This window comes from Homo sapiens, chromosome 2, assembly GCF_000001405.40.
Source record: "Homo sapiens chromosome 2, GRCh38.p14 Primary Assembly".
In the NCBI taxonomy this organism is placed as follows: domain Eukaryota; kingdom Metazoa; phylum Chordata; class Mammalia; order Primates; family Hominidae; genus Homo; species Homo sapiens.
This window is the reverse complement of record NC_000002.12, coordinates 103,006,185-103,020,189: the sequence shown is the minus strand read 5'-3', so window position 1 is coordinate 103,020,189 and position 14,005 is coordinate 103,006,185. Positions and strand designations below refer to the sequence as shown.

The 14,005-nt window shown below is 37.9% G+C and overlaps 1 long non-coding RNA gene across 1 annotated transcript; it reads right to left on the bottom strand.

Annotated features, from left to right (window-relative positions):
* Positions 1 to 288: 288 nt before the first annotated feature.
* Positions 289 to 6,614, bottom strand: LOC124907862 (uncharacterized). The gene is made up of 2 exons (XR_007087164.1): positions 6,292 to 6,614; positions 289 to 640 (listed from the first exon to the last, which is right to left on the bottom strand). It is a non-coding gene; the product is annotated as an uncharacterized LOC124907862 (long non-coding RNA).
* Between the last annotated feature and the right edge of the window lie 7,391 nt (positions 6,615 to 14,005).

Sequence of the window (14,005 nt, the reverse complement as noted above, 5' to 3'; positions counted from 1 at the left end):
CAATCTTGGCTCACCTCAACCTCTGCCTCCCAGGTTCAAGCAATTCTCCTGCCTCAGCTTCCCAAGTAGCTGGGATTACAGTCATACGCCAGCACGTCTGGCTAATTTCGTATTTTTAGTAGAGACGGGTTTTCTCCATGTTGATCAGGCTGGTCTACAACTCCTTACCTCAGGCGATCCACCCTCCTTGGCTTCCCAAAGTGCTGGGATTACAGGTGTGAGCCACCGCACCCGGCCTAACATATTTTTTATTTGTCAATGAAAAAAAAAAAAAAGATGAGGCAAATGTAGTTGGCTGTCCAGGGCCTGGATATTTAATTTGGTAACCAAGGTTAATGTCTTCACATAATGCCATCTCTGCATCTCTCTTTCTTATGACTTCATTTCACTCTGTACATCTATCCATTTGTCATTCTCTCCTCCAAGGGTATCTGATGTTTGATTATCTTATGCTTTGCTGAAAACCACTACTTCCATGGAGCCTCCATATGACTCTTCAGCTCAAGTAGCTCTGTCTCTTTCAGTTCAAATTTCTGAGAGTCAGTGGTTTATTCATTCAGACACCTATTCCTGGTCCAATCAGCTATGGCTGAGGACTGGGAAATTAGAGGTCTTCAAAGTAGGATTAACTTTCTAGGGGCTGTGGAAAGAAGAGAGAATAAGACATATCTAATAATAGCTTTCAGTAAAATATGAGAACAATATAAGAGGGTACTTTTGGGAGTTGATTAATCTTACATTGTTATTGAATTGTTACTCCAAACACACTTGCAGCATGAATTACTATAGGGACATAGTGCTTTTATGTTTCTAGATTTTGCGTGCAGGCTTTACATAGTCTTTGTGTTCTGATGTAATGGACAATATCACAAGACAGCAGATCAGCTGAAGATGTGGCTGGACTCTAGGGGACAGTCTCTCTTCTCAAGTCAACCTTTGGCAGAACCAATGAGTCACACTGGATTATTCACCTCTGGAAGCCTGGACAATACTATCTGCTTTGATCCCCATGTACACCCTACTAGCTATCAGCTCTATTATTGCACCTCTGGCATTCATCAAAAGCAGGGGCATTGAAGCTTGACCATCGTTAAATTGAAGGAGACAGCTGGAAATTCTGTATTTCAAAAATCCTTATGGATGGTGTACTATATGTTAAACTTTTTGCTAGGCTCTGGGATCACCAAGATAAACAAAACACAATTCCTTCTGAGTAACTCCCAGGTACTGAGCAGAGAGAAACACCCAGATGAAAAATGTTGTGTAATGTGATAAGTGTGGTAAAAGTACTGTGGGCAAAGTGCCATGAAAAAGGGGAGAGGAAATATAATTAAGAGAGACTCCTCTTCCTTTTGTGTATTGTTGTAGAAGAATTCAAAAAATAATTTCTAAATAGTTGAAGAATTATAAACTGAGTGATCATTAGAGAGGTTTTTAGTGTTTTCTATTTGTTTTATAATGGATTATTGAGTTTGTAGTACCTATAGCTCCAAATTGAATGAAGATCTCCAAAACTTTGCTCAATTTATATGTTTCTAAAATATTGTGATTTAAACCTATGTGTTTTAGAAAAAATACAATGCCTTTAAGAAGGCTTTGATTTTCTATGTGTTCTTTTATTTTTTTCTTTTGGAATAAGCTCTTATCTTTTAAGAGAGAAGAATTTAATTTACCAAATTTCAGAATATGAGTAACTCCCAGGTACTGAGCAGAGAAATTCAGAATATGAAATTTGGTAAATTAAATTCTGTGGCATTTTCTATGGATAAGACTTTGACTTGTACACCTAGAAGTGCTCACATAAATATACAATTGTTTATATTTAAAATGCTATTCCTGAGATGTCTGAATGCACCTGGATTAAGTTATAGTATCTGGACCATTTCTATGTCCACTTAAAATTGCAGTAATCATTTTGCAAAAAATATATACAGATATAGACATTCAGCCAAGGGATTAGGTATGAGGGTATGAGGTCTGCAGAAGAGGCTATGGTTCACGGCTGACTAACTTCAGGTTGATAAGTGCTTATCGGGATGCCACGAGAACATGCTCCCTGGCTTCCAATCTCCTTTCCCATCATCATCTAGACAGATCCAGTCTTCAATATATGCTTTATTCACATGGCAATTTGAATCAGAGTGTTGCTTATCTTGGAGTTTGTTTCTTACACACTAACTAGATGTGGGAAAAGAGGCAGACAGCCAAATGTCTGTGGGACCCAAATGCCCATCTGGAAAATGAATAGTAGACTAAGCCAGTAGCCTCTAAAATTTTTATTTTTTTGATAGGCACCTCATCAGATTAATAAAAAGTTCATCCTCTTAAATGCAAACTTATTTATTCTAACTTATGGGAAAGTACTACCACATAGCTACATTATATACATTATAAACTATATGTGAAACAGAAAATAAAATAATCCCAAGATATATGTACATGTAAATTGTTGGTAACATTTTAGTTCTTGCCTTGGGTGATGAATTCATGTATACTCATGAATCATGCCTGTTTCATGTCATACAATGAAGTATAATTAAAACGAGAGGGGGCCTTGCATGAACCAAGGTCGATAGAGTCCTGAATTTAAAATACATTAATCATTTCTATGAACCTGATTTTCTAAACTTAGATTTTTAAAAGCTTGAGATGATGAAAAAATTGTACAATATTTTTAAATATCTTCCTAACCATGATTATGTAATCCTATTTTATCTAAAAGACAATACACACTTAGAGTACAATTCAGCATTACTGAATTGGATGCAGATCCATATGTTAAATACAATTTTTAAAGACTTATTTATCTCCTTTTTTTGCAAGCCTCTTCATTTCATGTTTTAAAATGTCATGACTTATGCTATATGAGCTCTTCCCTCAATTGTTTCAAATGGGCTTATCTTACCAGTGGCATCTGAAATCAGTGGCTTCTTTACAGGAGTAATTTAAATCACTTGTCCATTTTGTGCTGGTTAGTCTAGCTGAAACTACATAATCTAGTTCCTAAATCTGCTTAACTAGGTATACATAAACTCTACTGTGTAATGATATATTAGGCAATCTTGTGATTAAAATCGCCCTGTCCCTGGCTTCACGTGGAAGAACTCCCTTTTTCTCCCTCAGTTTACCATGGGTACCACGAGGGATTCATACAGCACTGATACGCAAATGGAAAGCAATAGTGTTGCTATACTGGTTGTTAAAGAATTGAATCATTTTCATACTAGATGTAAATAGTCACTTTCCCAAGCTCCTCAAAATACCCACCACTCTGGCCCTTCCTCTAAACCCTCACATCTGCCCAGGATATTAGCATCTGCATCTCTGTGGGTGGTGTCCATCCTGATTGGTCTGATGAGTGTGCAAAGTTGGGGGATACAGCCCTGGACCTCTGACCTTCAGACTGGGTGACAGCATGGGAGAGAGTTTATATATTAAATATTAGTAAAGTTCAAGTTTTTTTATTAGTCTAAGTAAACATAAATAGATAAGAATTAATTACCATATCCTCTCCCCAAAACCTTCTTTAAGACCTCTGGACTTAACAGTATCTAAGATTCCTTTGAGATTACCAGGAAAAAAAATCTCCTGTGTTTTTTATAATCGACAAATGGAACTCTTCAAATTCAAAATTACATTTTTGCATAATGTTTCATACATAAAATTCTATTTTGGAGACAACTTTTCAGAAATATAGCTGTTCTAAACATATTTACTGATACTTTTGTTCATATAAACAGATGTAGGGGAACTAAAATATGATGTATAAATTCAAATCTAAGCTTCATCACTTAGTCTTATCAACTTGATAAGAGGAAACTCAGTGTCACATAATTAAGGGTAATATTGAATATGTGAATTCTTCAGCAGTTGATCATATTTATACATTTAGACTTTGTATTTGGCTGCACACTTTGTGGGAAATTTTTCTAATTCTTTTGAATTAATTTAATGTCACTGCTTGAAATAGCCTAGGATATAGAAAAATGTCAATGATTTTCAAAAATGTCACCTTCTCTATGTAAAGAATGGCTTTTTGTTTTCTTTAAAAAAAGAATAAAGCATTTGTATTGAAACACTCTATGGGATGGCTGCCACAGGAATCTGTGCATTGCTCCACAGGTAGAAACCAATTGATCTTCAAGTGGGCAAGTTGGTCTTACCCCAATTTTGAGCAGATACATATTGTATCATCAAAACCTGTGGGGCAGTTGTCATGACTTGAGCATGGCAGGATGAATAAAATGCTCCCAGAAAAAAATCATTATATTTAGAACTTTCTCTTTTTAGCGAAGGAACAGAAACAGGTTTATTGAAGTCCATCAAACCTTCCAGTTTTTTTAAAAAGAAATACATGTTGCTGTATCCTATTGAATTCTGGCATCTTAAGAGAGGACTAATAAAGAGTATAAACATTTCTCTCTGTGCAAACATGTATGAGATTCAGAAAAAATGATAGCTCCTAGATCAAACACAAAACCCTTATCAGGCTAGCCCCTAAAAGCACTAAGAACATCAAAAGCAGTGTTTAGTCCACATGTCAAAACAAAACAAAACAAAATAAAATGAAATCGTTGATACCTAGAACAGTTTTGCTTTAATAAAACAAATCATATACATCCTGTGGATTACATAGATTCTGCGTTAAGTTTGCATTTTAGCTGCTATTTTGACATCCCTAAGCGGATGGATGAGAAGAAAGTATAGAGTGGTACCAAGCACCCACATGACAAAGGGAGACTGGAGAAAAACAAAACAAAACAAACATCCAAACCACAATAATAATTAAGAATGGATCTGCCAAATATCTTACTGCAGTATCTCACTTGGTCCTTTCAACTATTGTGTTAGGTATTATGATAGATCCCATTTTATTAAGGTTCATAAAGACAAAACAAATCAGTTGAGGGTCTAACAGGTAGTAAACAGTGGAACAGGGATTAAAATTCGGATCTATCACATCAAGGTTTCTGCCCCTAATCAGGATTGTGTCATGAAAGGGAAAGCAAGGTATTCATGGGCACACTTCGTGCCAGAGACTTTGCATACAATGTTCCATTTGATCTCCACAGCATTAATCTTTCTCAACACGGTTGGAAGTTGAAAAGTATATGTTGAAAGAATAAATGTAATAACAGAAAAGAGGGTGTTTTATGTCTGGGAAAAATAATGGCAGAAGAGAAGGAAATAGGAACAAAAGGCAGAAGGCAGAGATCAGACCAGAGGTAACTGCGCTAAATGTAACATCACCACCCTCAGTCCAAGAGGAATATTATTTCTACTATTTGTGGGATAAATATTCTAGAATTATTATTTAATGCTTAAGGGACAGGATTACCCCAGTAGTTATGAAGATTTGGGGGAATATCCAAACATCTGGGTTCAAAGAAAAAGACATCTAGGTGGCAAAAGTCTGGCACAAGTGGTTCTGTTCCTCAAAGGCATTTTAATCATTGTGTCATTGTGGTTCTGCTTTCTTTGACAAATAAAGCAATAAAGCATTTTCCCCTAATAAGTTAAATTGGAATTAACACAGGAGGTAGCAACTCAAATTTCAGAATGACACTTTTCCTTTTTTGAAAGGGTCTCACTCTGTCACCCAGGCTGGAACAGAGTGGCGCGATCATGGCTCACTGCAACCTTAAACTCCTGGGCTCAAGTAAATCTCTCTGCTCAGCCTCCTAAGTAGATAGGACTAGAGGCATGCACCGCCACACCCAGCTAATTTTCTTTTTAACTTTTTAGTAGAGAGAAGGCCTCACTATATTGCCCAGGCTGGTCTCAAACTCCTGGCTTTAAGTAATCTTCCCCCTTTGGCATCCCAAAGTGCTGGGATTACAAGCATGAGGAACTGTGTCCACCCAGAATGACACATTTTTTAGAATAGAAGAGAATATCTAGAAAAATATTATCCTTCAAAGCAGTCAATTTTTTAAAAACTACAGCAACATTGCAGGAGTTAATTGCAGATGCCATCTAGCTCCATTTCTGTATCGTATTATCTCCTACTGATTGTAGTAGTTAGGCTACATTGGGTGCAAGTAACAAGAAAAGAAGAGCAGGCTAAACAGCCAGGAGCTTAGTTCTCGCCTTGATGAGCCCAGTGGAATGTAGGTGCTGGCACAAGTTTGTCAGCCTCCTGATGCCACTGGGAGCCCACAGAACAGGGCAAGCTGCATGCCCAGCAGTGCATACATGCTCAACAACAAAAGAAGGAGACAGACAGGAAGACAAAGTGGTTTTGTGTGGAGACATTTTGTCTTTTTATCAGGAAGGGAACCTTCCTCCCACCTGTCTCCTGGCACACCACCATTTGTTCCTTCATGCTTCTAGTGGATCTCGTCTTGAGTTCAAATCATCCGCACTGTCCCATGCTCACTTGTTACCCAGTCACTGGCCACGGGGAAGGAAATTTGGGTAACAAAGTGATATCATCAGGAATCCTCCCAGACCTGGCTCATCTTGACTTCAAGGGATCTCAACCAGCTGCCTGACAAATCAAAGTTGCATTGACAAGGATACCTGCAGGTGGGATAGGATAGCTAGCTGCTGTGTAACCACTAAGCTGTCTGCATGTTGATGACAGAATTATTATTTCACAATGAGGAATTGTTTGGTTGAAATCAGTGTAAGCCTCTTTATCCAAAGATAACAGAACAAAAAAATTCATTTTAAAACATCCATATTTACCTTTACAAGTAAAACAAATAATGAGGCCACATTTATTGAAGGCAATTGGAATAAAAATGTAACTTAAAACTTGAGATTGTATTTCCTTTCAAATGACGATATGCGTATTTCAGACCACATTTTAATCTGCAGTTTTGAAATATGCAAAGTGCTTTTTATACTAAGAAAATAGAATGATTAATATAACTACTACATAAACTACATCCTTTTTCTAGTAAAACATCAGTTTTCTTCAATGTAGTCAGTATTGCACCATTATTGTAAAAGGCCATGGACAGTAACAATATGTTTTTGAAAACTAAATCCTAGATGGCAGTGACAATGTGTAAATGTACTCATTTATATATAATGAAATGTTAAATTCCTAAAAGGCAACTCTAATTAAATGGAAGAGGCAGAAACTCCACTGCTTGGTTGCATTCATTTGTCATACATCTCAATAAGACACAATTACTTATTTAATGTTTTAATAATTTGGTTAATGCTGTACCACCCTTACTACTATAAACAACGAACATGGTAACTTCAGAGGAAAATATTAAGAAAAGGGACAAATATTTCAAATTACGTGTATGTAAAACAATGCTATTTATAATTTAATCATCTCAATTCTGTGACATTAATAATTTATCAGAAGCTGCAGCCTGGGTAGCAGCCCAATATGTGTAATTCATTTCCTGGAGTCACTGCTGATGGTCAGTTAACCTAATAAGTTCAGAGTGATTCAGCTTCCTAAAAATTAATTTAGTAACTGTCCAGCAGTTGATTCCTTTAGAAATTTCATCATCTGCCATCCTCTGCGTAAAGTTCCAGTAGAATTGTGCTAGGAATGGTGGGGCTTGGATTAAATACTAAACTGCATTCAGGTAGTTCTTGCATAAATAGTCAGTGTCACTGTCAGATGTTTTCTGATAGCAGCATACCAAGAATTCACAATTACTGGACTCTGTTAGGGTAATATGGTTTTATTCTCAAACTACATGAAAACAGCTCCTTCTTTGAAGACCAGAACTGACTTGTTTTCTTAATCCCACAGCCCTCGGCTTCATAGAATTTCATGTGCTATTTGTTCTGGGCATCAATCATAAAATGTCTCTTGTGATTTAGGAAGTGTATGTATATCAGAGTCAGAATTTTCTTATAATATCAGAAGCGGGGAGGTGGATAGTGGTCTACATATTTCACTAGCAGACTTTGAGGCATGGGAGAGCATGAATCACAGTGAGAAACCTAAACAGAAGGGAGGAACAAAGCAAAATAGAAAACTAAACTTTAAGATTCTGTGTGTGTGCTTGTGCGTGTGTGTCCATTTACAACATAGTTTTCTACCTTGGTAATGAGTTGCCAATTAAGCAATTTTGCTACTAAGGAAACTGTCCTAACTTGGAAACATGTTGCTTTCATTCAACGGCACAAGGACAAATCTGAGTAAGTCAAGATCAGAAAGAGCATCTTTCCTAGACTAAGATAATAGTCAGGTAAATCTGCCATGAGAAAGCACAGTGTGTTACTATTTCTCATTCTTAACCAAAGATCAGCTGCAAACAGCAGGACAGTATCTCATGTAGTGAGTTATTTAGGTTGGGTTTTACCTAATAGTCTGAAAAATGCATTAATCCTTTGCTTCAGTCCTGAATTTAGTGGCTGGCTTGAGTTCCTGTTCTCTGGCATGAATACAGCATAACAGACAAGGCATCCTTCTCATCCCGACCTTTCCTGAGGCTGCAGGAGTAAAGGGGACTGTGAGCTGTGACTGCTTGATTACTTGGGAGTATTTATGAATGGATTTTTTTTCTCAGTCCTTGAGCCAGTTCATTCACACCTGTGTGTTTCTAATTTCAGAAAACTGCTGAGTTTTGTTCTTAGAAATAAAGGTATCACTAGGACCATAACTAGTTACTAAGTCATGACTTTTGTAATGCCCTTGAATACAACCATCATTTTTCTTCCCATCACAGATCTGTCCTGCTTTTTAAGTTGAGAGGCTGATCCATGAGAGTCCAATGGTTTGGACTCTCAAATCATTTTCCTCTTGATTTAATTGCTTATGACTTGGGACCTATGCATAAATAACCCTTTTGTTATCATTCAAATCTTTTTCACGGCATTGTAGTATTTATAATCAATATGTTGTTTATGATTTAGAAAACTCCTTGGAATTATTTTATAAGATTCAAAGAAAAACCTCATGCCATTTTTTGATTTGTCCAGAAAAAAAAAAGGAGAAGTTGGGGGAAGGAGAAGATGCATACTTTAAAAATGCAAGCAGTTATATGGGAGAAAGGAAATGGAGAAGCAGGGGAGAAATGTGTGAAATACAAACAAAAAGACAAAAATTGATTCCGTGAAGAATGGAGTGAATTAAAGCAAGCAAGGAGAGCCGCTTAGCAGAACAGGCTGCCCTCCACGTACGAGGATCTTGCCAGTGAACTTTGCAAGAGTCTCTAAAGTAAGAACAGAGATATAAATGCCCACCAGGAACCAGACACAAGGAAAACACTTTTTTTTTTCCAGGCAGAAAAAGAAAGAAACGATATGTTTAACACGCACCGACCGTCTATATGGTGCCAACTGCGTTCAAAAGCTCGTCTCTCAAATGAAAACCATGCTTGCTTGGACTCTGCAGATCAAACAAAGCTGTTTGAAGATAATTATGCTCTAATCCATCTGTAGTCTCCTTGTAGGTGTTTGGGAAAGTGAACTCAATTTTCAACAGGAGAATCTTCCCTAATATCTCGGGTCAATAGGATTGCCGGCGAGAGACCCCTATTTAAAGGAACTGGGCCCGGATCGAAGGCCCTTGCTAGGTGGTGGATTTTTATGACGTTTGAGTCTTCACTTTACTTTTGCTTTTCCCTCAAAGCCAAGAACAGAAAGAGATCATGTCTCTTCGTTGTAACTGTATTTCTGTTGTGGGCACTTTGCACTGAAACATTCGAGTCTTATTTATAATCAACAAGGTTATGATTTTCCTTTCTCTGTTTCCTCTTTTATTTTTGCCATATTTGGCAACAGAAGATTGGCAAGGCATTCTCCTTTTCAGCATGCATCCCTGCTCAAGGACTTGATTAGCACATTTTTGCCAATAAAGCAGGCAGTAATTAGTTTTTAATAATCGGTACATTTCTGCTATATCAGCAAGCGATTCCGAAGTCTGAGATATTTTAAAAACAGTGCTCAATAGCACAGGATACCACATATTAACTTTGGGGCAAATATAGCTTTTAGAATAATGTTTTGAAAAGCAGCCTCCTGTAAATATAAGGTGGTATGGCACCATATGGAGACTGGCTTTCTGACATATGGCTTGAATTAACAAGTTTAAAACTGTTAGGATCAGTTTTTCTTTCACTGAAGGCAAAAACCACAAGATTCAAAAGTGAAATATGCTCCAGTCACTGATACAAAGGCTCACCAAACGCGGGGCCTCTTGGGCTAGATTTTTTTGTTGGCAGTCAGTGCAAGTTATCAATAGTAAAGCAAGTCGTAACACGACGAGAAATCACAAGGCTGCCAAGCCTTAAGATTTCACTTCAAATAGCACTTACATGGGCCCACACCACACTCCCTAGCAAAGGACATTGCCATTTTTGAAAGTGGCTTTTGAATTATGATTATTACATCCTCAACATAAATTGTTGTTCTTGGGTTGACATAAAAGATATTTGAAAAGACAAACTTGAGTGACAGATGGAAACGGTGTCTTCTGATCTCTCCTAATTGAACTTTTGTACGATGAATTGAACAGGAGAAGTTCAAAGATCCAGGATCTGTATTACACAAATATTGTTTCATTTAATCAAAACTGTCTTTGAAGTGTGGTGCTTGTGGGCCACCTGTAGCTTTGAAATTTAAAGTCACATAAAGCCTTTGGTGATACTGAAGAGGACAGTACGCAGCTAGAATAATTGCTGGACAAAAAAACGGAAAAAAGTGAAGATGCGAATGAAGGCAGTTTTCATATTCATGATTCCTTTTATTGCCCTTTCATTTTTTCAGCAAGCTGAGCTCTCTAAAGTTGTAAAGAAAAGCATTCGTGCATCCAGACACTTACAGGGCTGATTTTCGTCATTGGAAATGTATTTGTTTGTGGTTCAGCATCTAAACTATAATTATTGCAGCTTTGAAATATCCCATCAGGGTGAAGTTAAGCCCGGCTAATCTGATTCCACTTTTTCTGTCTGCAACTCCCTGTATGAAGATGATTATGAAATTTTTCTCATAGAGATCTGGAAATCCAGTTCTTTTTAAAATCTTGATCCAAGTGGCATCAAACACATTTGTGGCCAGAATGGGAAACCTCTATCGGGATAGAATATTTTACTAATAAGAGGAAGTGTTATTGAAATGATATTTTATATTTATACAGTTTGCAAAATACTATCAGGTATGTTGTCACCACTTAATTCACAGAACAACTCTGGCACATAGTCATCTTGACATTTTATAGATTAAAAACAGCAAAAACAAAAGCCTGAGGCTTAGAAGGCTTAAATGATTTGCCTAATAGGTCACAGTTAGTCAGCAGCAGGCGGGAGATGAACTTGGGATTGGAGTTCAGGCTCCCAGCCCTGTCCATCATGTCCCTTCCCACAGGCTGGTCTCTCCAGCCACTTTCCTTGCAGTGTGGCGCTCCCTCGGAGTGGAAGTGAGCTGTGTTTCAGACACTGTGGAAGCTGCTCCTTGGTCTCTTTGTTTGCACTGTTATCCATGCTCTCTGCCATAGGAGGGCAGCAGGAAAGCAATGAGATACGGGGACGGGGAGCAGAGGCAGCAAGGCATTTGGGTCACATGAAAACTCAGTATCCTGGGGTCTTGCTTTCTTAATCAGCAGGGCACTCATTGAGCTTAAAATATAGGTTTCCTGGGAGCCCGAGATGGTGGATCACAAGGTCAGGAGTTCAAGACCAGCCTGGCCAATATGGTGAAACCCCGTCTCTACTAAAAATACAAAAAAAAAAAAAAAAAAAAAAATTAGCCAGGCTTGGTGGCAGGTGCCTGCAGTCCCAGCTACTCAGGAGGCTGAGGCAGGAGAATCACTTGAACCCGGGAGGTGGAGGTTGCAGTGAGCAGAGATCATGCCATTGCACTCCAGCCTGGGCGACAGAACAAGAATTGTCTCAAAAAAAAATAAAATAAAAGGTTTCAAGTGAATCCATGTTCTTGCTATAAATAGGTATATAGGCCTTTCTGTAAAAGCATTCTAGAAAACCCTTTCACAGTGACTGTGCCCTCTTAATCTAGAGCAGATAGCAATTCCTTGTGACTCCTCTGGATCCCCAGATACTGTTCTTCTATAAGTACTTTTAGTTGTATGGAGGCCTGAAGTGAATCTAGTAATGATTTTTTTTTTTGGAAGCATTTGTTTCTGCCGTGGGATGAGTCTTTTTGGCCTAGTTCGAGAAATTTCACTTAATCAGTTAGTTTAAAAATCAGGAGAGAATCACAGAGCAGACAGCAATCTTTGGGAGCATTTGGTTCAATCCAGCTAGGTTACAAACAAGACAACTGAGGCTTAAGAAACGTTACTTATAGAAAATCGCAGAACTACAGAGGTTGGCACCCAGGCCTCCTGTCTCCCATAGTCCAAGGCTTTTTTAGTCAAACTACCTTGTCTGAAATGTTATCTAATAAAACGAAACAAAACAAAGAACAGACAAAAAGCACAATGTTTCAGGTGTCTCAATCCATTATTCTCTCAATCCCCTGCTGTTTTTTATCCTTCTTCAGAGGATAGCCATCACCTACCTGACATATCACATATTTATGGTTTATTATTTGTCTCCCCAGCCCCCAGGAGAATGTAAGTGGTAAACATACTGGTAAATGCTTAACAACCAGCTCTCTGAAGAGAAGGAAAAAGCAATGACTTGTAGCATTTGCTGATTTTGTGGTGTGAATCCACCCACCAATGGTTGATGTCAAGCTATCAATGTGGCTGAACACAAAGTTGAAGATGCGTGTCTACTAACCTTGCCGAGGCACTCCGACTGTTTCATAAAAGCTCTGGCTGTATCCCCAGTGTCTAGAACAGAGCCTGGCATGTATTGACTGCTTAATAAATATCTGGAACTGCCTTATGGGAGTAATGAGAGTAGTTTTCTAAAAACTGCTGGAATTCTGCTGCTCTGATTTTCCCCCTAACGTGCAAGGCTTCAGCATCCCTTCCTTGGGAAGAATGTTCATTTTCCCAGCTTGTCTGTTTCTGGTTGTTGGACATTGGCCAGATTCTGTTTTAACTTCAACTTTAAGTGAAAAAAAAGCATAAAGGGTTTGTCAGGTGAAATTTTAAATGCAGATTGAGAAAAACGAGATTATCATAATGAGACTCGTGTTTGGGAACATTGTGATAACAATGTGATTCTTTTTCTTCCTCTTCTTTTTTAAACACTTGGGATGACATCATTCATTCTCTCCTTGGGGGTACAGGTCCAGCCCTCTGGCAAGCATTTCTACAACCTTTCCCTCTGTAGCCTCTGCCTAGAAGCCACTCGCAGGAAACTAGTAAGTTCTGACCAAAGCTTTAAGCAACTGGAGAATCAGTGTCTTTGTGGCAGATAACATAACCCATTATGAACTGAGTCGTATGCTTTATTAATGAGAAAAAGAAATCCCAATTCTGCCCTGGTTATTAGTGTAACTGGAACTTATGTCGAAACCAAATGCGGGAGGGCTTTGGTCGGCCATATTCTTTTGACATTTTTATGTGCAAAACACTGTAAGAAACGAAGCCACCATGAAAAACATGTCCAATAATTTTGGTGATCTTGAAGTTAAAATATCCATGAATGCACAAAGGAAGAAAAGGGACACAAAATGAAAAATTAAAACCACATCCTCCTGTGCTGTAGGAGAGAGGTGCATCTTCAAATATTGAGCAGCTCTCTCAAAGGGCAGTCATTTTTTAAACAGGAATTTTGGTGTTTTCTGTAGAGTTCCCAAAACATGACCAACAAGGCCTAACTGCAACTCTGTATATTTTTCACGCAAATATATACATTTTGCATGCGTGTTTTATAGAAATTATAAAGAGAGATGAGCGTCTTTTTGGACCTTTCTTACTACGGCATGTAGTATAACTTATATTAAATTCCACAGGAACACTGCAAATCAACAAGACATTTAGCCTGAAGATTTCAGTACTAGCATAAGCAAACAGTCTACTGGAAATTTATGCATTCAGAAATTTCAGGAAATTTATACCTTTCAGAAATTCATATATTCAGATATTTTATTTTGGGGGACACATTTAATTTCAAGCAAATAGTTTGAGGGGAAACATCTTAACTATGGAAAATTCTGAACGAAACATAAA